Source organism: Homo sapiens, chromosome 18 (assembly GCF_000001405.40).
Source record: "Homo sapiens chromosome 18, GRCh38.p14 Primary Assembly".
NCBI lineage: Eukaryota > Metazoa > Chordata > Mammalia > Primates > Hominidae > Homo > Homo sapiens.
Genome location: NC_000018.10, coordinates 23,956,631 through 23,982,542, shown reverse-complemented (window position 1 = coordinate 23,982,542; position 25,912 = coordinate 23,956,631). Strand labels below are relative to the sequence as shown.

The 25,912-nt window shown below is 43.5% G+C and overlaps 1 long non-coding RNA gene across 4 annotated transcripts, besides 2 other annotated features; it reads left to right on the top strand.

Annotated features, from left to right (window-relative positions):
• Nucleotides 1–24,789, top strand: LINC02958 (long intergenic non-protein coding RNA 2958). Of its 4 annotated transcripts, none has more exons than NR_186640.1 (4): nucleotides 1–169; nucleotides 18,353–18,535; nucleotides 22,540–22,637; nucleotides 23,912–24,789. It is a non-coding gene; the product is annotated as a long intergenic non-protein coding RNA 2958 (long non-coding RNA). The 4 variants fall into 4 exon arrangements; NR_199649.1 differs by having other exon boundaries at nucleotides 22,518–22,637; NR_199648.1 differs by lacking the exon at nucleotides 22,540–22,637 and adding an exon at nucleotides 13,692–14,895.
• Nucleotides 711–820: an enhancer, noted in NCBI's record as "active region_13166". NCBI's record gives its function as "activates an Ori minimal core promoter by ATAC-STARR-seq in GM12878 lymphoblastoid cells {active_cell/tissue: GM12878}" and the evidence as "EXISTENCE:reporter gene assay evidence [ECO:0000049][PMID:35858748]".
• Nucleotides 9,652–9,852: a silencer, noted in NCBI's record as "peak3071 fragment used in MPRA reporter construct". NCBI's record gives its function as "represses an SCP1 promoter by STARR-seq MPRAs in K562 erythroleukemia cells {active_cell/tissue: K562}" and the evidence as "EXISTENCE:reporter gene assay evidence [ECO:0000049][PMID:32103011]".

The window sequence follows — 25,912 nt, the reverse complement described above, 5'->3', positions numbered from 1 at the left end:
ACATTTTCTGTAGCTTTGCCCGAAGAGAGAAGCTGTTTTCTCTCAGAGATGGAACATGTTAGCTGGTTGCCATGATGTCTTCATTTGTCCATCGCTGCCCCTCTGTGAGCAGGCAGCCATCAGGACAGAGAGTGGCATGCTGGACAGGCCGACTCTGACAAGGAGCAAGGTGAGAAGTGGGACCCATCCCACTCAAATGAGGTTGCCATGGTTATCGCCCCTGGGAGGATCTGTGCCCCTGGGGGAGAAAGGTTTCCTAACACAATACAGAGAGATGGAGAGGCCTCGGAGTCTAACTTCACACATTTCAACGTTTTGTTCAGAACCAATTCCAGATTCTGGAACAAAGCCTTCCTCCCTTTCTTTTTCCCTCCTTCTATTCACTTCTACCTCCTTCCTTTCATTCCTCCTCCCTCCTTCTCTTCTCTTCCTCTGTCCTTCCCTTAGAGACACATAATTACATAAACCCCAACCCTCAGTTCACAGCCCTCTCTCTTGGCTGTCCTGCGCAGCATCTTGGAGCAGAGCATTTTAAGTGCTTAGTGTTTCCCTGCTTCTCTCCTTCTCTTGAATGGGTGGCTGGCTTTAATCCTTCAATTCCCGAATGCTGTCACCCTGACACTGGGAGGCATGGGGGCCAGCAGCCCATAACCTGCTGTGACTGTGGAGGTACAGGGATGGCGATATTCATATGCTTACTGACTTGCCATCTAATGCGATGCAGACTAAATCTCCTCTGAACAACCTTTTGTTTTTAGAGGAAACAAACTTTCCAAAGATGTGCTGCATCGATTCCTGAGTGGAAGCACAGGGGAGCTGCAGGGAGTGCAGCCCTGGCAGTGTCAGGGTTCCCTGCAGCACCTTCTGTCCCTAATGCTGAGCAGCTGTCAGAGGGAGTGCTGCAGAGAGCTGCCCGCTGCCTGCTCGGGAAATCCTTTGCAAACTTCCCCAGTCACAGAGCATTAGAGCGGAGCCCAGTGAGTTACTGCCTGGCCTGCTATTTCTAGCCACCCCTCTCTTAAGCAGACATATGTACACAAGAGCATTTCTAGACAGAACTAGGTTTCCTGTCGCCTGTGGCTTCAAACAGCCTTTCATTATTAATCCTTTTAAAGAACATGAGCTGCACCTGTTCAGACTTTAGCAGGATTACAAGTAATTATTGGAAAAGAAGCGTGAAAAAGGTAGGAGCTCGGTTCTGTAGTACAAAAGTCTTGCATGGTGTCCGCCACCACCATATCTGCCACAGTCTCTCAGAATTCATGCTGCCTTGTGGATTACTACACAGCTCCCTGAATCTGGGTTAGGATACCTTTAAGGACAGAGTAACATACTCTCGAAGAGTTGAAAATAGGAAGAGGAGGAACAATTGAACAATTGTATATTGCATAGACATATACTTTGTGAAATCCTCAAAGCTTCCTGTGCTGAACAGTGTTTTTTTAGATGGAGTCTTGCTCTGTTGCCCAGGCTGGAGTGCAGCAGCGCGATCTTGGCTCACTGCAACCTCCGCCTCCTGGGTTCAAGCGATTCTCCTGCTTCAGCCTCCTGAATAGCTGGAATTACAGATGCCGCCACCATGCCTGGCTAATTTTCATATTTTTAGTAGAGATGGGTTTCACCATGTTGGCTAGGCTGGTCTCGAACTCCTGGCCTCAAGTGATCCACCCGCCTCAGCCTCCCAAAGTGTTGGGATCGCAGGCATGAGCCACCGGCACCTGGCTTGCTGAACACTTGATGATAACAATCACTATTATTTCCTTAGCAGTATCAATTTCATCATCAGGCAGTATAGACTAGTATATTTTCAAAAGATCTTAGCTCAGTTAAAATAGTTGGGCTCCATTCCATTTTAATAATGTCTCTTTAAGACATTGAGTTTCTTCCAAACAGCATAAATCAAGGTGACAAGATTTAGAAATAATAATCAATAAAATATGTCATTTAAAATGATCACACAGTTTTTAAATTAGAAGCCAAGAGCGTGTTAATTATTCCTTTGAGAACGGCATAGGTTTGTTGCAACTTGTAAATTAGTTTAGAAGCTAAGAATCTTAGCTGCTCCTTGAATTGATTCCAGAATTACTGCAAACTGGGTATGGGGATGGGGCATATGAGAACTACTAAGGTTGGTACAAAATGTATCCATGATCTTAGCATTTGTGCCCTATGAAACAGCACCTGAGAGAACGACTTGGGTACAGGTAATTATAATCCTGGGAAGAAGGAGTTAGGAAGTAGGGAGAGACAGGGATGGAGGAAAAACCAATATAAGTGCATATAATTAAGGCACTTAATAATATGGGGTGTATTAGTTATCAATTGCTGCTGTAACAAATGACCACAAATGTAGTGGCTTACCACGACAAAAAAATTAGTAGCTTACAGTTCTGTAGGTCAGAAGTCCAACGTGGGTCTCACTGAGCTAAACATCTCAGCAAGGCTGTGTTCCACTTGGAGTCTCTAGGAGGGAATCCTTTCTCTTTTCTAGTTTCTAGAGGTTACCTGCATTCCTTAACTTGCAGCCCATTTCTCCATCTTCAAAGCCAACAGCATCACATCTCTCTGAGCCGTTTTCTGTCATCACACTCTTTCTGACCACAGCTGGGAAAAATTATCTGCTTTGAAGAACCTATGTAATTAGATTGGGCCCACCTGGATAATCCAGGCTCCTCTCCCCAACTCAAGGTCTATAATCATATCTCCAAAGCCCCCTTTACCATAAAAGATAACATAGTCACAGGTTCTGGGGTTAGGATGTGGACATCTTTGGGGGCCTTTAATCTGCCTGCAATGGAGGCAATGGGCAGTCAGCAGTCAGGGGAGTGCTCTTTTCTAATGGGGCTCTCAGGAGTATACAGAATCCCAGAATTGTCTACCTGAAGTACAGAAGCCGGAGATGTTACCAGCTCCCATCCTCTGCTGGTTGAAGGTTCTTCCTGGAGATAATTTGCCTGCACCTCCAGGCTGTACTTGGCATAGAGCATCCTGGGCCCTGTCAGCACAGAGCAAGAAGAGCTGGCATGAAATTGTTCCCTACAGCTGTGCTGAGAACAGAGATGGGCCAAGAGGATGTGAAATAGGCAGGCTACAAGTACCTGCTACATCTATGACATGGCATCACTTAGGCATGGAGCTTGGATACTGGAGTTCAAACCCAAGGCCTGCCACTCACTGGGAAGCCTTTACAGGTGTTAGATCTTTCTGAAGTCTTGCTTTTTCCCATTTATTAGGTGGGGAGACTTATATGGACTGCATGGAAAGTTGGGAGTATTAAATGCACTAACATATGCAAAGCAGCTAGATGTATAAGGAGTGGTCAAAAAATAGCAGTAGGAATTTTTATCTATAGATCCAAAGAAACATTTATTGGTTGCCAGGCAGTGGGGCTACATCTGTGAACAAGACCAGTAAGGTCCCTGCCTTCACTGAGGGGCTTCCTTTCCAGTGCTGGAAATCAGCAATTGACAAGTAAACAAAGAAATATACAAGTCCTTACAGATTATGGCTGCTGCAATATAGGACATGAATAGAGTAGGGTGATATGATAGAAGGTAAAGAGACAGGGGTATGGCATACATGGTCCAGTCCCCTCCACTCCTGACCCCTTCCTTTTTTTTTTTTTTTTTTTTTTGAGACAGAGTCTCGCTCTGTCACCCAGACTGGAGTGGAGTGGTGCGATTTCGGCTCACTGCAACCTCTGCCTCCCAGGCTCAAGTAGTCCTCCTACCTCAGCCTTCTAAGTAGCTGGGATCACAGACTCATGCCACCACACCCAGCATTTTTTTTTTTTTTTTTTTTTTGTATTTTTAGCAGAGACATGCTTTTGCCATGTTGTCTAGCCTTTTTTGAACTCCTTATCTCAAGTGATTCATGTGCCTTGGCCTCCCAAAGTGCTGGGATTACAGGCGTGAGCCACTGGACCCAGCTCCCCTTCCATTCTAGGAGGACCTAGTGTGTTCAGGTGGCATCCAGGGATTCCTGGATCATGAGAAGGTGGCTCCTACCCCAATTCTAGGGGTAAATCACAACTGGTCTAAATCAGTGTGATTATCCTATTTCCTTTGGTGAGTGACTGGCTTAAAAGGAGACAGGAAACCCAGTGAGATTCAAGGGGTCACCTCTGGGTGGGGGTAAGTGAGACTTCTGTTCCTGCCTGGTGAGGAGAAAGCCTCTTACCTTTTCCCCCATTCTCTCTGCCTTAAACAAAATGAATGAGCCATCTGGCCTGGCAACAGCCTTTTTGAGATCATGAAAGAGCAAGCATGAAGATAAAAGTGGAACAGCGGAAAGCTCTGAAGGGCTGAGTCCCTGATGATGTCATTAAGCAGCTGAACAAGAGCCAGTAACTATCTCTCACAATGGCTCAGTAAGAAAAAGAAAGCTCTATATTTTAAATGCTATGGCTAGACTGGTTTTCTGTCACTTGCAGCTGAACACATTCTTAGCTCATATGGATTGTCCAAAGCCAACATTTAATTTGAGACCTGAAGGGTCAGCCATGAAAAGAGCCAAGACAGCATATTCAGGCAGAGGGAAGAAGAAGTGACATGATCTTACAAAAGCATTTAGAGTGGGTGAGAAGGAGGAAGGAGCTCAGGAGGCTGGGGGCTGGGTGGAGTGTGGGAGAGAAGTCTGTCAAGGTGGTGGTCACCCCCTGCAGGGCCTTGACTTCAAGCCTTGACTTCCTGTCACCCAGGATGGAGTGCAGTAATGTCATCATGGCTCACTGCAGCCTCAGCCACCCTGGCTCAAGCAATCCTCCTGCCTCAGCCTTCCAAGTACCTGGGACCACAGGTGCATGCCATGACACCTGGCTATACACAGTAGTTTTTAAGTAGGAGAGAAACATATTGAAATAGGAAATTGTAATGCCCGCATTCTTTAATGTAGAATTGGAAACCTACAAAGCCTATAGTTTTGAGAGGCTAATAAAATTGAGTTGTTAAAAATTATGCTGAAAATGCTGAGGGAATTCATCACCACCAGGCCTGCCTTGCAAGAGCTCTTGAAGGAAGCACTAAATATGGAAAGGAAACTCTGTTACCAGCCACTATGAAAACACGCTGAAGTATGAAGACCAATGACACTATGAAGCAACTACATCAACAAGTCTGCAAAATAACCAGCTATCATCATGATGACAGAATCAAACTCACACATAACAATATTAGCCTTAAATGTAAGCAGGCTAAATGCCTCAACTAAAAGACAGAATGGCAAGCTAGATAAAGAGTCAAGACCCACTGTTGTGCTGTATTCAAGAGACCCGTGTTCACGTGCAAAGACACGTAGGCTCAAAATAAAAGGACGGAGGAAAATTTACCAAGCAAATGGAAAGCAGAAAAAAGCAGGGGTTGCAATACTAGTTTCCGAAAAAAACAAACTTTAAACCAACAAAGATTAAAAAAGACAAAGAAGGGCATTACGTAATGGTAAAGGGTTCAATTCAACAAGGAGAGCTAACTATCCTAAATGTACATGTACCCAATACAGGAGCACTCAGATTCATAAAACAAGTTCTTAGAGACCTACAAAGAGACTTCGACTCCTACACAATAATAGTGGGAGACTTTAACTCCCCACTGTCAATATTATACAGATCATTGAGACAGAAAATTAACAAAGATATTCAGGATTTGAACTCAGCTCTGGATCAAGTGGACCTGATACATGTATACAGAACTCTCCACCCCAAAACAACAGAATATATATTCTTCTTGGTGCCACATGGCACTTACTTTAAAATCAATCAGTAATTGGGAATAAAACATTCCTCAGCAAATGCAAAAGAACTGAAATCATAACAAACACTCTTTCAGGCCACAGCACAATCAAATTAGAACTCAGGATTAAGAAACTCACTCAAAACCAGACAACTGCATAGAAATTGAACAAGCTGGTCCTGAATGCCTCGTGGGTAAATAATGAAATTAAGGCAGGAATCAAGAAGTTCTTTGAAACCAATGAGAACAAAGAGACAATTACCAGAATCTCTGGGATGCAGCTAAAGCAGTGTTAAGAGAGAAATTAAATGTCCACATCAAAAAGCTAGAAAGATCTCAAATCGACATCCTAACATCACAACTAAAAGAACTAGAGTGCCAAGAGCAAACAAACCCCAAAGGTAGAAGAAGACAAGAAGTAACCATGATCAGAGTGGAATTGAAGGAGACAGAAGCATGAAAAAACCCTTAAAAAGTCAACAAATCAAGAAGCTAGTTTTTTGAAAAAAATAATAAAATAGACCACTAGGTAGACTAATAAAGAAGAAAAGAGAGAAGAATCAAATAGACACAATAAAAAATGATAAAGGGGATATCACCACTGACCCCACAGAAATATAAACCATCAGAAAACACTATAAAGCCTCTATGCAAATAAACTAGAAAATCTAGAAGAAATGGATAAATTCCTGTACACATACACCGTCCCAAGACTGAACCAGGAAGAAGTTGAATCCTTGAATAGAACAATAACAATTTTTGAAATTGAGGCAGTGATAAATAGCCTACCAACCAAAAAAAACTCAGGACCAGATGGATTTACAGCTGAATTCTACAAGAGTTACAAAGAGGAGCTGGTAGCATTTCTTCTGAAACTATCCCAAATAATTGAAAAGGAGGGATTCCTCCCTGACTCATTTTATGAGGCCAGCATCATCCTGATACCAAAACCTGGCAGAGGTACAACAAAAAAAGAAAACTTCAGGCCAATATCCCTGATGAACATCGAAGCAAAAATCCTCAATAAAATACTGCCAAACTGAATTCTGCAGCACATCAAAAAGCTTACCCACCATGAGCAAGTCGGCTTCAACCCCGGGATGCAAGGCTGGTTCAACATATGCAAATCAATAAGTGTAATTCATCACATGAACAGAACTAAAGACAAAAACCATATGATTATCTCAATAGATGCAGAAAAGGCCTTGAATAAAATTCAACATCCCTTCATGTTAAAAACTCTCAATAAACTACATATTGATGGAACATACCTCAAAATAATAAGCCATTTATGACAAGCCCACAGTCAATATCATACTGAATAGGCAAAAGCTGGAGACATTCCCCTTGAAAACTGCCACAAGACAAGGATGTCCTCTCTCATGACTCCTATTCAACATAGTATTTGAAGTTCTGGCCAGGGCAGTCAGGCAAGATAAAGAAATAAAGGGTATTCAAATAGGAAGAAAGAAAGTTAAAACTGTCTCTGCAGATAACAAGATCCTATATCTCAAAAACCCCATTGTCTCAGCCCAAAAGTTTCTTAAGCTGATAAACAACTTCAGCAAAGTCTCAGGATGCAAAATCACTGTGCAAAAATCACAAACATTCCTATACCCCAACAACAGACAAGCAGAGAGCCAAATCATCAATGAACTCTTATTCACAATTGCTACAAAGAGAATAAAATACTTAGGAATACAGCTAACAAGGGAACTGAAGGACCTCTTCAAGAAGAACTACAAACCACTGCTTAAGGAAATCAGAGAGGACACAAACAAATGAAAAACATTCCATGCTCATGGATAGGAAGAACCAATATCATGAAAATGGCCATACTGCCCAAAGTAACTTATAGATTCAATGCTATCCCCATTAAACTACCATTGACATTCTTCACAGAATTAGAAAAAAACTACTTTAAAATTCACATGGAACCAAAAAAGAGCCCATATAGCCAAGACAATCCTAAGCAAAAAGAACAAAGCTGGAGGCATGACACTGCCTGACTCCAAACTATACTACAAGGCTCCAGTAACCAAAACAGCATGGTACCAGTACAAAAACAGACACATAGACCAATGGAACAGAATAGAGAACCCAGAAATAAGACTGCATGTCTACAACCATCTGATCTTTGACAAATCTGACAAAAACAAGCAATGGGGAAAGTATCTCCTATTTAATAAATGATGCTGGGAGAACTGGCTAGCCATATGCAGAAAATTGAAACTGGACCCCTTCCTTACACTTTCTACAAAAATTAACTCAAGATGGAGTAAAGACTTAAATGCAAAACCCAAAACTATAAAAATCCTAGAAGAAAATCTAGGCAATACCATTCAGGACATAGGCACAGGCAAAGATTTCATGATGAAGATGTCAAAAATAACTGTAAGAAAAACAAAAATTGACAAATGGGAGCTATTTAAACTAAAGAGCTTCAGCATAGCAAAAGAAACTATCATCAGAGTGAACAGACAACCTACAGAATGGGAGAAAAATTTTGTAATCTATCCATCTGACAAAGTTCTAATATCCAGAATCTATAAGGAACTTAAACAAATATGCAAGAAAAAAACAAACAACCCCATTAAAAAGTGGGCAAAAAATATGAACAGACTCTTCTCAAAAGAAGACATTTATGCAGCCAACACACACTTGAAAAAAAGCTCATCATCGCTGATCATTAGAGAAATGCAAATCAAAACCACAATAAGATACCATCTCACACCAGTCTGAATGGTGATTATTAAAAAGTCAAGAAACCGCAGATGCTGGCAAGACTGCCCAAGAAATAGGAACACTTTTACACTGTTTGAGGGAATGTAGATTAGTTCAACCATTGTGGAAAACGGTGTGGCGATTCCTCAAAAACCTAGAACCAGAAATACCATTTGACCCAGCAATCCCGTTAGTGGGTATATACCCAAAGGAATATAAATCATTCTATTATAAGGATACATGCATTCATATGTTCATTGCAGCACTATTCACAATAGCAAAGACCTGAAATCAACCCAAATGCACATCAATGATAGATTGGATAAAGCAAATGTGGTACATGTACACCAAGGACTACTATGCAGCCATAAAAAGGAATGAGATAATGTCCTTTACAAGGACATGGATGGAGTTGGAAGCCATTATTCTCAGCAAACTAATGCAGGAACAAAAAAACCAAATATCAAATGTTCTAACTTGTAAGTGGGAGCTGAATAATGAGAACACATGGACACAGGGAGGGGAACAACAAACACGGGGGCCTGTTGCAGGCGGGGATCAAGGAAAGGGAGAGCATCAGGATAAATAGCTAATGCATGCTGGGCTTAATAACTAGGTGATGGGTTGATAGCTTCAGCAAACCACCATGGCACACGTTTACCTATGTAACAAACCTGCACATCTTGCACATGTATCCTGGAACTTCATAAAATAAAATAAATGATGCTGAAGTCAGAGACTGCAGACCTCTAATAAGCACTTGTTAGCAAAGAACCTTGGGCATATGACAGACTGTTGACTTCACTGTCATGGGAGACAGGCCCTGAGCTATACAGCCTTTTACAGCTAATTGTTAAGGAGAAAGGCTGGGAATATTTACAGGACATTTGACTTGGAGACCCTTAGAATATAAATCCTAATCTTGTTGGGGTGAAGGCCTGTTGTGTCAGATTGAGACTTCTTCTGTACTTTTGAATTATAAAAATGTCTTGGCTGATTTATAAGAACTTAAAAAAAAAACCACCCAGACTTTAAAAGTGTCATATTATCTCCTGTAGAATAAAAACCATCAATCCAAAAGCAACATACTAATTGATTGGCATAGAAAAAATTGTACTCAGCCCACTCTCTGTACCTTCTACGGGATTTGAATTCCTCTTTTTATTTTTTTCCCAAGAAAGTATCAAGTCCTTGGTTTTTTTCCCTTCAGGCCTAATTGAAATAGATGACGAACACATTCATTGTAATAAGAGTCTCAAACATTTATTTCTCAATAAAGAATTTTCCTGAGAGACATGATCTGATGTGTTAAAAAAAAATCCCTTTGGCTGCAATGGGAAGAATGATTTATAGGAGAGGCTAGAGTTGACGTAGGGAGCCCAGTGAGGCGGCTATCACAGTGGCCCAGGAGAAAAATTGATGACCTGATTTGGGGAGTGACAGTGAAGACACAAACACGAGTACTGATTTGAGATGTACGTAGGAGGCAGAGCCGAAAGGACTGCCTGGAGGAATCAAAGATGACTCAGAGGGTTTTGTCTTGAGCAGTGAGGTAGACAGTGAGACTCTTTAGTGAAATTGGGGCATTCTGGAGATGAACAACTTTAGATGAATTAACAGTTTCGATTTGGGCATACTCTGCTCCAGGTACCTGGTTGGTATCCAACTGGAGATACAAAGTAGGCATTTGGATGTGCATGAGTCTGGGGTTCACACAGAACAAAGCCTGTGTCTATAGAAGGGAGCTCAGGTGGTCCCCAAGCCACTCCAATATTTACAGAATTAACACCACCCTCATTTACAGGTAAGGAGTAGTTTGATATTAAAAAGAATAATGCTAACCTATTTTTTGGATCTGCTATACTCTATCCTTTTTTGGAAGCCCTACATTTGCAAAATTTGGGTTAGGTGTTCCTATTGTAGAACCTGCCATTCTGTAGTCCCTAAGCGATCCTCCATCAATTACTTAGGTACAAACAATGGAAGCTAGTGCTGACAGTGGCTACCTGGGATCAACGTGGATAGCTAAGTCCTATTAACTGTGTGATTCAGATCATTGGAAGCTAGCTATATCTTGGGTGACTAAAACTCCTTTGAAAACATGCCTTTGAAAGAAGATGTAGGCTCTGGGTGCTATTTTAGTACTTGGATTTTAAAGAGTTACGTTGTGTTTTTGTGTCTGAGTACAGAAGTCTTGAAAAGCAAGACAGGATTAGTAGGATCACAGCTGAAGCCCTTAAGCTCACTCATGTGTTAGCTGCTTTTCGTAAATGTGGTGTTGTAGGAAGAATGGCTCCAGGAAATGTACAATCCTGTGTGTGTCAGGATAGAACAGTGTGGGGGAAACAGGCCAAATAAAGTTATTTTGGTGATTAATTCCTATTTTCAACCAAAGTCTTTGGCTTAATTATCTGCCGTAAGTATGCTAATTTGGCCAGCTGTCTCTAGGTAGCTAACTTTACCCCTAATTTAAAAGCTTTCGGCCAGGCGCAGTGGCTCACGCCTGTAATTCCAGCACTTTAGGAGGCCGAGGCAGGCAGATCACTTGAGGCCAGGAGTTCATGACCAGCCTGGCCAACATGGTAAAACCCTGTCTCCACTAAAAATACAAAAATTAGCCAGGCATGGTGGTATGTGCCTGTAATCTCAGCTACTTGGGAGGCTGAGGCCAGAGAATCACTTGAACCTGGGAGGCGGAGGTTGCAGTGAGCCGAGATTGTGCCACTGCACTCCAGCCTGGGAAACAGAGTGAGGCTCCGTCTAAAAAAAAAAAAAAAAAAAAAAAAAGCTTTCATCTATGGTGGACGAATGCTTTCTGGAGGAAGTAAGAATGCCAGCCTACCAGAGGGGAAGGATGACCATGTTCGTCTGCTGTTCCCAACTGTTTCTAAACCCCTTTTGATGAATGTGCAAAAATCATCATCCTCCAGAGAGACTGATTTCTCCTTCTTCATCATCATTGTGTTATCAAAACTAAGCAGGAGGCCAAGAGTGGTGGCTCATGCCTGTAATCTGAGCACTTTGGGAGGCCAAGGTGGGAGGATGGCTTGAGTCCATAAATTTGAGACCAGCCTGGGCAACATAGCAAGACCCTATCTCTACAATGAAAAAAAAAATTAGCTGGAGATGGTGACATACACCAGTAGCTCCAGCTACTCAGGAGGCTGAGGTGGGAGGATCGTGTGAGCCTGGGAAGTCAAGTCTGACATGAGCCATGATGGTGCCACTGCACTCCAGCTTGGGTGACAGCCAGACCCTGTCTCAAAAACAAATAAAAAACCAAGCAGGAAATGAATGGCTGCTATCTGCATCTTGGATAGAATTAGTGGGTAAGACTAGCAGTCCCTCTTCTTTCTCATGCTCTTGGAATATACCCCTAAAGGCCTTAATTTGTCTTTGAGAACACCAATACTAGTGATAAACAGGATGTGATGTTTCCATTTGTGGTTCTGCTTTTTTGGCTCAGATTAGCACAGGGGCGACACTGGGCATGCGTATTAGAATGTGGGTCTGTTTTTTCTGGTATGGGGAGGCCAACAGATCAGAAGACAATTGCCGTTGAAAAGATACTCTGTGATACTCACATATTCCAAGAAAGGGGCCCACACCATGCCACAGGTGCCAAGTGGGGAAGTACCAGGGCCAGTCAGGCAGCAGAGGGAGTGAGGGGGAAACGTAGGCAAGAGTCTTTATCATGGTTTCTGCAGGAAGGAATGGCGCCAGGCAGGGTAAGCAGGTTTATGATTTGCTAGTTTGAATAATTTCACAGGAGTCTGGGACATAGGGGCTGCCTCTTGCTGTCTGCCATCTGTCCCTAGGGTGATTAGAGTGGGAGCACATGGTCCTGAGTGTGAGAGCTAATAGAAGAGGTGGCACCCGGGGTATGGGCTCTGGGTTGGGTGGCTTGCATTTGAAAGGTGCTCCCAAGCAAGTCATTTACTTTCTCTAGAAATTAGCTGACCCTGAGAAAGGCAGTTCCTCCAGGGTCAGCAAAGCCCCAGACATCTAGGCATCAGGAACGCATTATTAATATAGGGTAATAGTTCCATAAGGACTGGCCCGGTTACTTGGGGCTTCCTCTCTCTTTTCTCCCTGCTAAATGCAATAATCATACCCGATTCTCAAAGTAATTGTTGGGATTGAATGAGATGCATAGGTAAGGGGTTGGCACAGTGCCTTGGACCTACCAAGTGCTGAATAAATGACACAAAGGTCTATTTGTGAGTGGCTGGAGCATGAGTGCCACTCATGGAAGTTCCGAGAGTTGTTTCATGGCACAGCGTGGAGAAGGGTAGGCGTGCTCCTTCAATACCTGATTCTCCTAGGTGGAAAGCAGTTCTCATCTGTAGCCAGAGATTTCTTTTTTCTTTTTAATTAAAAACCCTCAGGGGTACTTTGCACATAGGTGACCGTGTCATTCTCAGGGATCCATTGGTTGAACTGACTCAATTTTACCATGGGAAAACTTTGGACCCAGGAGAATAAATGGTTTTTGTAGTTTTCACCAAATAAATGAGGAGTTGCGCTTTTTCTGAAAATCTTTCATGGATTAATTAGTGGCTCCATTTCTTATTAAGCTTTAGTAGTAAAATACATGATGCTAATGAGGGCAAGGCTTGGAAATCTTTACATTTTAGTTCATCTCCCACTTGTGCAATTCCTTTCTTTCCTTCCTTCCATGAATATTTATTATGCCCAAGGCACAGGGAGGAAGCAATTTGCATAAAAGAAATGAATGGAAGGAAAGAGGACAAAGCTCAGGATGCTTCACATTGTCTTGCCACATCACCAGTATTTGCTTTTATTTTGGGTTTCTGTCCACTTTTATGAGTAAGTAAAAATACCAAGAGAAAGAAATGTACAGAGGGCATCTAGCTGAAGTCTGAGGCCAGAGAATCACTGCCCTGAAAAGTAATTAGTTTCCTCCATTTTAAATTTCCCTTCCTCTGACCTGAGGGCTTTATCCAGCTTGTAATTATTCTGCAATTATTCTGCAGTGTCTTCTGACCAAGGGGTGTTAGCTCTTGGATTTGTGTAATAATTGACAGCACAACAGTATCATTAGGACTTGAAATATCCACCCATTTGCTAACCCAGCTCCTCTAGGTCCCAGGTCCCAAACAGGTCAGGTTCAGATGCAGAGAGACGCTCTGTAAAAGAGGCCATGATCTTTCCCAACCTGGTCCCCAGTACTTCCCTTGCATGTACCCTCCAGCCAACTGAAACACTTGGTTTTTTCAGCTTTCTCCCACCTGCACCATGCAATTCCAGCACATGTGGGTAACATGTGCTACGAAGTCAGAGGACCTGCATTGCAACTGTGGCAAATTGCTTAAGCTTTTGGAGCCTGAGCTGCTTGGGCTATAAGACGGGTGAATGGTACCCACAGTCAGATGTGTTTCTGGAAGAAATGACATCAGCATGCCTATCCCTGTCTCTGGCCAAGCCTCCTACTGGCCTATGGAGGCTTCCCTCGGTGAGCACAAAAGACGTTGCAGGCAAATCCACCCTCTTCTGTACCAGGCAGAGCTTTGACTCAAATCCCTAGAAGACTTCTACCATGGAAATGGGAGCTGGGCCCTGTGTGAGTGTCAAGAGTCTTTTGCTTTTTTTATCTTAGGGCTAGAGTTGGGCCAGGCAATTTGGTTTTTCATCAGGTTAGAAAACCTGCCCAAGATGATAGCATCCATGTGTAACAGAGCCCAGGCCCTAAGCCCACATCTGCTGATCCCAAAGCCTAGCTCCTTCCTCTCCCTCTCCATTTTATACTGATGGGCATGGAATCCAAAGGGACCACTTTGGTGCCTGTCAGATTACTGAGAACTCAAAAACAAAACAAAACAAAACAAAGACAAATGGCAACAAGGAAACCCAAAACAACAGCAAAACAGAACAGCTGCAGCTGATCCTGGAGAAGATGCCCTGGGGGCTTCCTGGCTTTCCCGCCCTTTGGGGTAGATCATGGCAGATGGGCCACCCTGACTTGGTTTGATCCTCAGTTATTGCAGCACCCACACAACTCTGCTCCTCAGTCCCTCACCAAAGACTCACCTTCTGTGGCAGAAACCAGCCACAGTGGGATGAGACAGGGTGGGGTCCAGCGTGCACCATTCCTTGCTGCAGGACTCCCTGGTGAAATAAGGAGAGAGCCAGTGGGGTGTGGCTTAGCGGTGCTGGACCCATGGGGTGTGACTTAATGGTGCTGACCCAGTAGGCATGGCTTAGTGGTGCTGCACCAGTAGGGTGTGGCTTAATGACACTAGCAGGAGCCCCATGATTATGCACGTGGAGTGGCAGGGTCAGCGATGAGAAATTCGGCAAGTTGGCTAGCCCAGCCTCCTTCCCAACAGTCTCCGCCAACACCCAACATTGACAGCACCAGCTCTCAGGAGAATGCTCTGGTGGCAGCACCCACAAGCTCTGTGGTCACGGCTTTCCCTGCCTGGTAAGTGAAAGCAGAAGCTTTTAATGTGTGACAGTTTCTAGCAACTGGTCAAGTACTTGTGAATAATGCCTGCAGCAGGCAGCAAGTCATGGTAGGATCAGAGGAGGGCTCGGGGCCAGCTTCCCCTTCCCTGAACCATGGTAAGTGTTAGCCTTGGTGAGGGTCAAAGGCGAGAGGAGCCACAACAGGGTGGTGTAAATGGCCATGCATTAGACAGGCCCTAGGAGGTGTTATTATCCCAGTGGCTTCAACCACATCCTGTACTAGGCAACCAGTGTGAAGATGACTGGCAAGGTCAAAAGCAGCTGATTTATTCAGAGGCCCTGGATGGCATCCCTCCTCTGAGGCAAGGAGACAATTTAGTGCTTCTCTGCCTTCCATGGTTTAAATGTAACTGCGAAGGACACATTTGGGACACAAGAGTATTTGAGAATACTCTTTCTCCCTGGTCACACGTCTCATTTGCTATTCTACCTGGCAACTCCTTCCATTCTCCCGCTACTCTTATCTGGAACACCTGCTCTTTGTTGCCAGTTGGGAATGCCGCGTGTGTGTGTGTGTGTGTGTGTGTGTATACAATCTGCTTAATTCTGATACTGTTTCCTTCCCTCCTTCCTGGAGGGGCTCTGCTAGTGTAATGAGCGGCACACACGGCAGTCAGGCTGAAGCACCTACCACCCCACAGGGGCATGCATGCTGCTTAGCTTAGCAAGGCTCCTCACTGTGATGCTCGGTGTGGTCCTCTGAGTCCAGGGGATCTATGTGTCCAGACAGCCCTCCCATCTACCTAAAATGATAAACAGTCCTTTAACTCAGAACTTTGTAGAAATTCAAAAGATTTTGTTGAAAAGGACACTTTAAAATGAAAGCTATGTACATTTACCATAAAGATATGTGTATAAAACAAAATCCAGAAGTTTCAGTGGTCTTTTTTTTTTTTTGAGATGGAGTCTCACTCCTGTCGTGCAGGCTGGAGTGCAGTGGCGCAATTTCGGCTCACTGCAGCCTCCACCTCCTGGGTTCAAGCAATTCTCCTTCCTCAGCCTCCTGAGTAGCTGGGATTACAGGCTTGTACCACCACGCCCTGCTAATTTTTGTATTTTTAGTAGAGATGGGGTTTTACCATGTTGGCCAGGCTGGTCTCAAACTCCTGACCTCAGGTGATCCACCCACCTCGGCCACCCAAAGTGTTAGGATTACAGGCATGAACCACCAAGTCCGGCCTTTTTTGAGACAGAGTTTCAAAGACCTCAAGCGATCTCCCAGCCTCGGCCTCTCAAAGTGCTGGGATTACAGGAGTGAGCCACCGCGCCTGGCCTGGTCATCTCTTATACACTTCCAGGTGTTTCTCACCAGGGAACTGGAAAGGACTCTCCCCTGGACACAGCTAAGATGAGGGCTTCCCAATCCTGGCTCTTCATTAGAATCACCTGGGCTGCTTTAAAGATCATGAATACCGGTCCCACCTGAGATCAACTCTGTGGGGCAGGGAGACACACACCTGTATTTTAAGTGATTCTCAGATGCTTCTGCTGCAAGGGCAGGTGAGAGCCCCTGGATGAGATGAGCCAACCAAGCTGTGAAATGAAGACAGTAAGTAACTCAGCTTTTGGCACCTGGAAAATGGAAATAGAAGAAAAAAATGAAATAGAATCCATAAGCTTTATTTTCTATCCGTCAGCCCACCTAACTGTTAATTATGTGAATCAGTGCCACTCAAAACCTATCTAAAACTATAACCCATGATATGTCCTCAGTTTCCTTCAGTAGCCACTGTCTGTGTACCTGGCCACTGGCCCTCGCACTGCCCATTGACATTTTGCCCACTCTTCTCAAGCCTTCTCCCCCAGACAACCTTATCTCCTAATTCACTAGGAAAACAGAGGCCCCCAAATTCCCCACCTGTACACAATGCTATCTCTCTCCACCTACAGTCACCTCCTCTCCTCTAGGCTCAGGGGAAGAGGGGCTCCCTCACCTTTCTTCAAGGTCACTCCCTCCAAGAGTCCTCCAAGTCCATTTCCTGCCCCCTCACCTCTTCAGTAACTAGGCTGCTTTCCCTCTGCTCTTCCTTTTTAGCTCTCCCTATAAACTATGTCTTTCCCAGCATACAAAACATTCTATTCTGCTTTCTTAAATCAAAACAAAACAAAGCAATCCATCACAATCACAGGTCCTCCAAGTTCTCCTTTTCGTTACAACTAAGCTTCTTGGAAGAGTAATCGACATGATCTGCTAACACCTTCTTACTTCCCATTCACTGTCTTCAGTCTATTGTAATCTGACTTCTGGCCCCATTGTAGGACAAGCCGCAGATAAAACCTCTCAGACACCGAGTTATAGAAGGAAGGGCTTTATTCAGCTGGGAGCATTGGCAAGCTACTGCCTTAAAATCCAAGCTCTCCGAGTGCACAATTTCTGTCCCTTTTAAGGGCTCACAACTCTAAGGATTTCACATGAAAGGGTCATGATTGATTTGAGCAAGCAAGGGGTATGTGACAGGGGCTGCATATACCAGTGGTCAGAGAGAAACAGAACAGGGCAGCAAGTTTCACAATGTTCTTCTATATAGTGTCTGGAATCCATGAATAACATCGGTTTCTAAGTTATGAGTTGATTTTTAACTACTGGGTTTAGGCCAGGCAGGCCCAGGCCTGGTTTTGGGCCTGGCGCCAGGCTGCCTCTTTGGTTTTACTTCCTTGTTGTTTTCTTAAAACAGGTGATGAGTATAAAACAATATAAAACAATATGAGAGGGTCTCTCTCTTCTCTCACCATCACTCCACTAAAATTGCCCTTATCAAAGATACCAACTGGCTCTTTCTTGCTAAGTCCAGGGCTTCACAGTAGATAGCAGGGGTCAGCACGTTCCCCCAAGGACCTGGCTCCTGCACAGCCCTGCCCCGCAGCATCATCTCCTTACAAGCGCTTGCCCCCTTGCGTTTCCTGCTCACACTACCAGAGGTTCTCTCTAGTTCCCCTAAGCCACGCCCTCTTTCCTCTGTGCCTCTGCTTGTGCTCTTCCCTCTGCCTGTAATGCTCCTTTCCACATTCTTCATTCCTGAATTACACACGTCTTGGCTCAGGTACCTCCCTATTCTCTTTGGAGGTAAAGAGTTATTTCTAACTGAGATGGGAGAGGAAAAAAATGGCTTCCACCACTGGGCAGCACCATGGCCTCCCTGACGCTTCCTGTGCAACACCAATATATGTCCCCCGGCTGTAGCAGCTCAGGAGGTTCGTGCTGCTTTGTATTCTACTAGAAAGGCTACCTTGTTGCCTCCTCACTTAAGTGCAGATTCTCTATTAGATCTGGATGCTAGTAATAGGATCATTTTCTAGGGACTCCTACATGAAATGTGAAGTTCTATTTAATGCAAGTCCTTGTTGCTGTACTACCATATTTCTCACATTTGCCTGATTGTGAAAATCACCTGGTGTTTTTATTGAAAATGCAGATCTCCACGCCACTGCACACCAGCCTGAGAGACAGAGCACGACTCCATCTCAAAGAAAAAACAAAAAAGAAAAGAAAATGCAGATCTCTGGGCCCCACCCATACCTGGGGACTCAGAATCACCAGGGCAAGGTCTCATCCTTATGCGTCACATGTGTTTTGAGATCTCATTATCTCCTGGGAGGTAGGTCTGTGAGTTATGGCTGGCAAAGCCAATTACCTGCCAATTACCTCTTGAAAGAGCAACACTGTGCTTGCTGAACTGGAGAAACTGGGGCAGTTGAGCAACATCTGAGATCAAGGCAAAACAAAATGCTTGGTAAACTTCCCCTCATGAATGAGTTCTTGGCTGGTACTCCTTATTTTTTCCAGGGTGGGATTTCTTCAAATGAAATATTAGCTTTTTGCACAAGGTACACAGGGGAAGGGAGAGTGGAGTTTTGTGGGTCCTGGTAGCACTCTTCTATCTCACAGTGCTGCCATGGAATCCCAACACCCACCGTGGCTCAAGTTTCAGGGCATCTGGTTGAGTGGGGTCATTAGCCCTCATAGAGAGGTTGAGCTTAGGGCTCCATCTCCAGGTCACTGAAAATTTATGATGTGGACTTGGATATCCCCCTCATTGCTTCATTATTGCTCAGGGATCCTAGTGACATCTTGATGAAAAGGCAGGATTTTAAGTATGTATTTTCTCTTGTCCCTACCATGTGAAACCATATGGCCCTCAGCCACCAGGGATAGAATTGGAGGATAAAGCAGGATTCACTTATCCAAGTTGGGGTCAAAAAATGGAAGCTGAGGTAAAGAATGGAGAGGGTAGCCTCTGTTTTTAGGGACATCTGCACACAATGAACTATTATTAAAGCATCAGACTTATCCTGGTCAGTGCTTCTCTCAGAGGGACACAGGCCACCAGGCTTCCCGTTTCTTACACCTAACCCGACTTGAGGGAACTCTTTTTTTTTAAGAGAGAGAGTTTTGCCCTGTTGCTTAGGCTAGAGTACAAGTGGCACAACTGTGGCTCACTACAGCCTCAAACTCCTGGGCTCGAGTGATCCTCCTGCCTCAGCCTCCCAAGTAGCTGAGATTACAGGTGGGAGCCACCGCACCTGGTCTTGGGGCACATTTTATTTCCAACTTAAAACAACATTATATGTATATGTCACATATTAATAATATATAATACATATAGCAAACAATGCTATATGAACACCCTTATGGTTGCATTGTTACTCATATCTGTTTTTTTTAAGACAGAGTCTCACTTTGTCACCCAGGCTGGAGTGCACTGGCACGATGTTGGCTCACTGCAACCTCTGCCTCCAGGGTTCAAACAATTCTCCCTACTTCAGCCTCCAGAGTAACTGGGATTACAGGTGTGCACCACCATGCTCGGCTAATTTTTGTATTTTTAGTAGAGATGGGGTTTAGCCATTTTGGCCAGGCTGGTCTTGAACTCCTGCCTTCAGGTGATCCTCCTGCCTCAGCTTCCCAAAGTGCTGGGATTACAGGCGTGAGCCACCATGCCTGGCCTATATCTTTCTTAACTAACTAGGACAAATTCCTAGAAGTAGAATGCACATTTTTTTTTTCCTTTGGCTTTTTCCTTCAACTTTTAATTTAAATTCCAGGGCCCATGTGCAGGATAGAATGCACATTTTAAAATTTCAATATCTATTCCCAAATTGCCACTTTCCTGCCCCAAAGTGATACCAATATACAATCCTATTGCTTACTTATAGATTAAACAACCTTTGTCAATTTTATAGACAAAATAATATATTTCATATTTTACATTTATTTGATTTCTAATTAGATTGAAGATAGGCCTCATACGCTTAGGGGAAATTTGTATTTCTTCTTTTTAAATTATCCTGTCCTTTACCATTTTATTATTGGGGTGTTTATATATTTTTAGAATTAATCTGCAAGAGCTCTTAATCTGTAAGATTACGCTTTCTCTGTTATATGTTGAAATATTTTTCCAGTGCTCTATTTTAATTTCATTGCATTTCTTGCCTTCTAGAAATTTAATATTCTTATGTGATCATATTTACTAATTTTTTCCTTATAATTTCCTTATTTGGTGCCATGTTTAGAAAACCACTCCTCAACCTAAAGCATATAAATAATTTTCCTAATGTTTTCTTGCAGCACTTGATGGTTTATTTCACTTGAATCTTCAATTCATCTGGAATTAATTTGGGTAGAAGATGCAGGATAAGGAGCCATCTTTAATGTTTTAAATGGTTAGCCAGTTACCCAACTTCAAGGGGACATATTATTACCTTGGATCAAAAAATGTAAAACGAGATAATTTTAGTCTGCCTCCTCCAAGATTAAAAAAAAGCCAAAGAGGAGTATGGGCTGGAAAATCAAGAAAAGGAGGAGACTAATCCAAAAAATGGAAGCTGAAGTTGCCAGAAGTGAATGGCTGCACATTAGGCCTCCCAGTCCTCTTTCTCCTTCATGGTTAGAAAGAGGTATGGCAGCCTTCACTTGGCCACAAAGCTTTACCAGGCAGTGAAGATACAGGCATTAGGAGACTTGATTGCTTTACTTACTTTGACACAGAGGTAGCATAATGCTACCTTAGAATTTAGATGATAATTCCTCTTCCCTTTTCTTCTCATGCATTGATTGAAAATATATGTTAAATTTATTTACAAACTGTAAAGTGCTATTCAAATATGAAATATCATTAGTACCAATGAATATTTTTATTCAGAAGATATTCTCCATGGGTAATCCAGTCAAAATTCACATCACAACATGAGTATTAAATAATCAGTCAAAATGCATCCTCATGGAGCAAAGGATTTCTTGATATTGGTTGACACAATGGGCAGAGTAGGCAATATTCCTTGTTTTTGTGAAAAGCAAGAACTAGTCATATTACAAATATAATATTGTCAAAACCTAGGACAAGATTTCCTTCCACTCTTTGGAGGGTGTCTAAGCTTGGGTTCCCTTGGAGCAGACTCTGAGCAGGAATTTGAGTGCAGGGAATTTATGTTGGAAGGGAAGGAAAGACCAATAATAGGAGGAGGGGATGAGGGAAGGAGATAGGGAAGGTAAGGCAGTGGAGGAAGAAATGTTCCCAAGCCAGATCCTGCTGTGGGTGACTGGCATGTAATCCTGCTGGAGAAACTCCGGGATATGGGGGAAAATGCAGGTTCCAGGGGGTGTGGGAGCTAGCCCCAGACTCCTGTGAGCCATTGCTGGTGAACTGCACTTATGACATTAATCCTCTGCACAGCTGATCTGCTGCATAGGTAAACAATGCTGGCTTCAGCAGCCAAAGAAATGCTGGGGCTGGCACTTAGAAGGCAGGGTGGCAGGCTCTCAAGTGGTCAGGGTGAAGTGGGTGCTGGTAGCATCTTCTACAGAGGTTTCTCCTTTTTTATCCCCCCCTCTTAGAGCCAAGGTCTTGCTCTGTCACCCAGGCTGGAGTACAGTGGTACAAACATAGCTCACTGCAGCCTCAAACTCCTGGGTTCAAGCAATCCTCCCACCTCAGCCTCCTGAGTAGCTAGGACTACAGGCATGCACCACCACACCTGGCTAATTTGTTTTCTCTTATAGAGACAGGGTCTTGCTATGTTGCCCAGGCTGGTCTGAAACTCCTAACCTCAGGAGATCCTCCTACCCTGACTTTCCAGAGTGCTGGGATTACAGGCATGAGCCACCACACCCAGTCCCAGAGGTTTCTCCTTAATTTGAAATACATCTTACGTATGTACACAGCAATGCTATATAACAGGGGAACATTTACTTTCTCCATTGTTTCCTCAGAATGGCAAATCAGGAAAAGTGATAAACATATGTCACATGTAGAATAGGAAACTTCTTTATTAGGTCTTTGGCTTTTTGATATTTGAATATCCAAATATTTAAATCTCCAAACATGCCTAGGAATAACTAAAGCCACAAGGAAATATTCAACTTTTGATACTTCCACTCCATGTTTTTACAGTGTTGTTTATAGTAGTTACATACATATATATTTTATATCAAATATATATAGTAGTACTTATAGTAGCAATATTACTACTATAAACACTGTAAAAAGAGTGAAAATATCAAAAGTTGAATATAGATTATAGTAATATATATTAAGATATATATTCACATTTATAGTAATATATCATATATATATTTGATAGAGGTTCTTGCACTGTTGCCCAGGCTGGAGTGCAGTGGTGTGATCATAGCTCACTGCAGTCTTGAACTCATGGACTCAAGAGATCCTTCCACCTCAGCTTCCCGAGCAGCTGGGACTACAGGTGGGTGCCATCATTTCCAGCTAATTATTTTATTTTGGTAGAGATGGAGTCTTGCTGTGTGGCCCAGGCTGGTCTTGAACTCCTGGCCTCAAGGAATCCTCTCACCTCAGCCTTCTAGAGTACTGGGATTACAGGTGTGAGCTAGCATGCCCAGCCAATAGTAATAATATTAACAATGATATTCTCATAACATTTTCACATCTGCCATTTCATTTAACTCTCAAAGAAGCCTTATGAAGCAAGGGAGGTAATTTCTGTCCCTCAAACTTCTAGGAAATTTTAAACGCCCTGACAGAAAGCTTACATGCTTAAACCACTGCTGAAATTACAGGCCCAAGGGAATAAGGGGTGGCTCAGATTCAAGAGACTTCCAAGAGCAATAGCTCTTCTCCAAAGTGGGGGGGGGGGTGGGGGGGGGGTGAGGCTTTCCTCTCATTGTGGGAAAGTGGGAAGAGATAGTTTATAGGAAACTAAGGAATAGGAGAAAAGCCCCCTGGGAGCTGGGCTAGGCAGAAGCTGTCCCAGTAGCAGCTGGTCTTTGGCCCAGGAAGTGCCCCTGATGTCCTAGGATGCATTTCATCCTCTGGCAGAACCCCTCCTCCCCCACTAAGGACACTGCACTTCTGGGGAAAACATGGATGTTTGGGATTTTTTCTCCCTTGACAGCACTGCCGTTGAATACTAGCTATGCTCAACCACCTGTTTTCCAGAATATAACCTTTATGTGTAAGGAAGCATATTTCCTACAGGAATAGTAAATACCTTCCGAGATGTGCCTTTCGAATGGACACCATGCCAAGCTGCAGCTCCGCCACACAGCTCCATGCTAACTGTTTAGAAATGCATGCTCCCTGAGTGTGAAACGATTAAAGTTAGTGGTTAATATGCAAAAGCCTTTTGAGCAAGTGATGATTTAATCAGTAAGTGTGTGCTGCTGTGTGACCTGTGTGCATTCGCAAGACTCAAGTGCTGCAGAAAGTTCCGGCCCTCTGCCCTCTGAAACTCCCAATTCTCATTTTATCAAGGGCTCAATGTAGAGTAAAATAAACCACACATTCAAAATGTATGGAGAAAGAAATCTTCTGGAAATGGAAAGTTACACTTTATATACTGGGGTCATACAAGTCTTTATGAGCGAGGCAGAAAAGACATTTCCAGTCAATAGCATTCACCATCTCAGGCCCCTGTCCCTCTACTTTGGGAGAATTACGTTCCTTGCCCTGAGGATGATTAACAAGGATATCCCCGATTTCATCTCTGCTTTCTATTCCCAGCTACGCAGACATTGTGCTGGAATTTCTATGCTGAAGAATTAAGCTATATTGTTTGGCAAAAGAAGAAACTGAAAACAAGAAATCCATCCCTTTCTACCACTGCTATTATATCATCCACGTTTAAAAAAAAAAAGTTTGTATGTAGTTATATACAACAAGAAGTTTCTGCTTCGGATTTCTCTGTTGGGCAGGGTGGTGGGAGGGATGGGGTCTCGAGTTTTTCCCAAGTGAAATCCTGGTAATCCTGCCTGAGAGAATTCTTATGAAAGTTTCACTCACAATGAAAGCAAACTTCCAAGGTGGAGGAGGGTGAAGCCGGCTGGCTGGACCGATCACTGAGGCCCAGTGCTGCGAAGAGAGTTCAGCACATTATTCCAACCCTTTCTGGGAGCACGGCCCAGGCTTGGCACCGGTTTGGTGTTCTCGAGTGTGATGCATTCTGAAAACCTGGCTGCGTCCGTGGCCCAGCTCCAGTTCTGCAGGGCTCAGCATCAGGCTGCCCCCTCTCCTAAGGTGTTTTGCAGGATCGCCCCTCAGAGCTAAACACCCACCAGCTGACCACCTGTTCCAGGTGATGGGATTTTGGCTCAGATCAGCCTGGATCAGGGTGGACCTCTACAAGCTGGCTTGCATGAATGTAAATGTCTGCTGCCCATCTTGAAGACCATCGGCAAGCTTTGGTGGGTTCATATTCAGTGGCATTAGGGATTAAGGCAAACTTAAAATGATTCTGAGTGTAAACAGATACAGATATAAACTTTTGGGGGAACAATTTGGTAATAGCTAATAACAATCGTTAAAATGTTTATATCCTTTGACCTGATAGTGTTAGTTCTAAGAATTTACCTTAAGAAAATAAATAAATTTATATCCCATGATATCTTCATTTTAGTGTTGCTTGTAATTGCAAAAAGAAAAAAAAAGAAAAGAGAAAAAACCCCATTTACTGAATAATTGGAGGGTGGTTAAATACATTACGGTAAATTCATCTGATAGAATAAAATGCTCTACAGTTAAAGACCTAGGAAACACAATAGACTTTGCAAAACCATATAAAAACAATATATATGGTATCATCATGATTTTTGTAAAAAAATACATGTGAATTAAAAGACTAATGAACATATAACTATATACAAACAGATTTCGGAGTGGTGAGATTCTAGGTGATTTTAATGCCTCTCTGCATATTCCAATTTTTCCATAACGAACACACATACCACTGATATTCAATAAAAAAAGGTTATTTTAAATTTTTTTCTACCCATATGCTGACTGTAAGTCCTCATTCCAAAGGAAGAATAAGACCTTTCGGGGGCTACCACTGACCTGCCCAAGTTGGAATTAGTAAAAAGAGAACTGGGGAACCGGAAGAGAAGAGTTAGAGTGGCTGGCAGACGCTGAGGTGTGAGGGGTTTTCAGTGCAGCAGTTTTGGGGGTTGGGGAGAGTAGAGAAAGGAGCTGAGTTCAAGTTCTCTGTGGGGAAGTGGGACCACATCCTGCCTGGGAGAAGGGAAGGTCAGTGAGTTCTGTCCGGGGCTGCTGTCCTCTGGTACAGGGATATTATGAGCACGGCAAAAACTCAATAACTGTACGTATTAAGGAGTGAGGTCAGCCAGCACCTGGAGGGATGCTGAAGAAGGCAGGCCCGTGCAGACCCACGATTGCTTTACAGTTACTTGGTGCCCCTGAAGTGCCTGCTGCCCAGGGAGATGCACTGTTTCCAGTCCCCAATCCACTGAACGAAGATGGAACAATGGTGGACCCATCGTGAACTGGTCAGTGTTGTCTACCAGAGATCCTGCTGTCCCTCCCGAGACTCTCCTCACAAGGTCGGCCCAATTTGTGTGTGCCTATGAGCCAGGAAGAGCATACCAGTGACAATATTTGTATAGCATTTGATAGTTCACAAACAATTCTCATGAAAGTTCAGTCAAGGAGCTCTAGACATTCTTTTCAGGAAACACATATTTACAATCTGCAAATAGCCACACTGAGGGT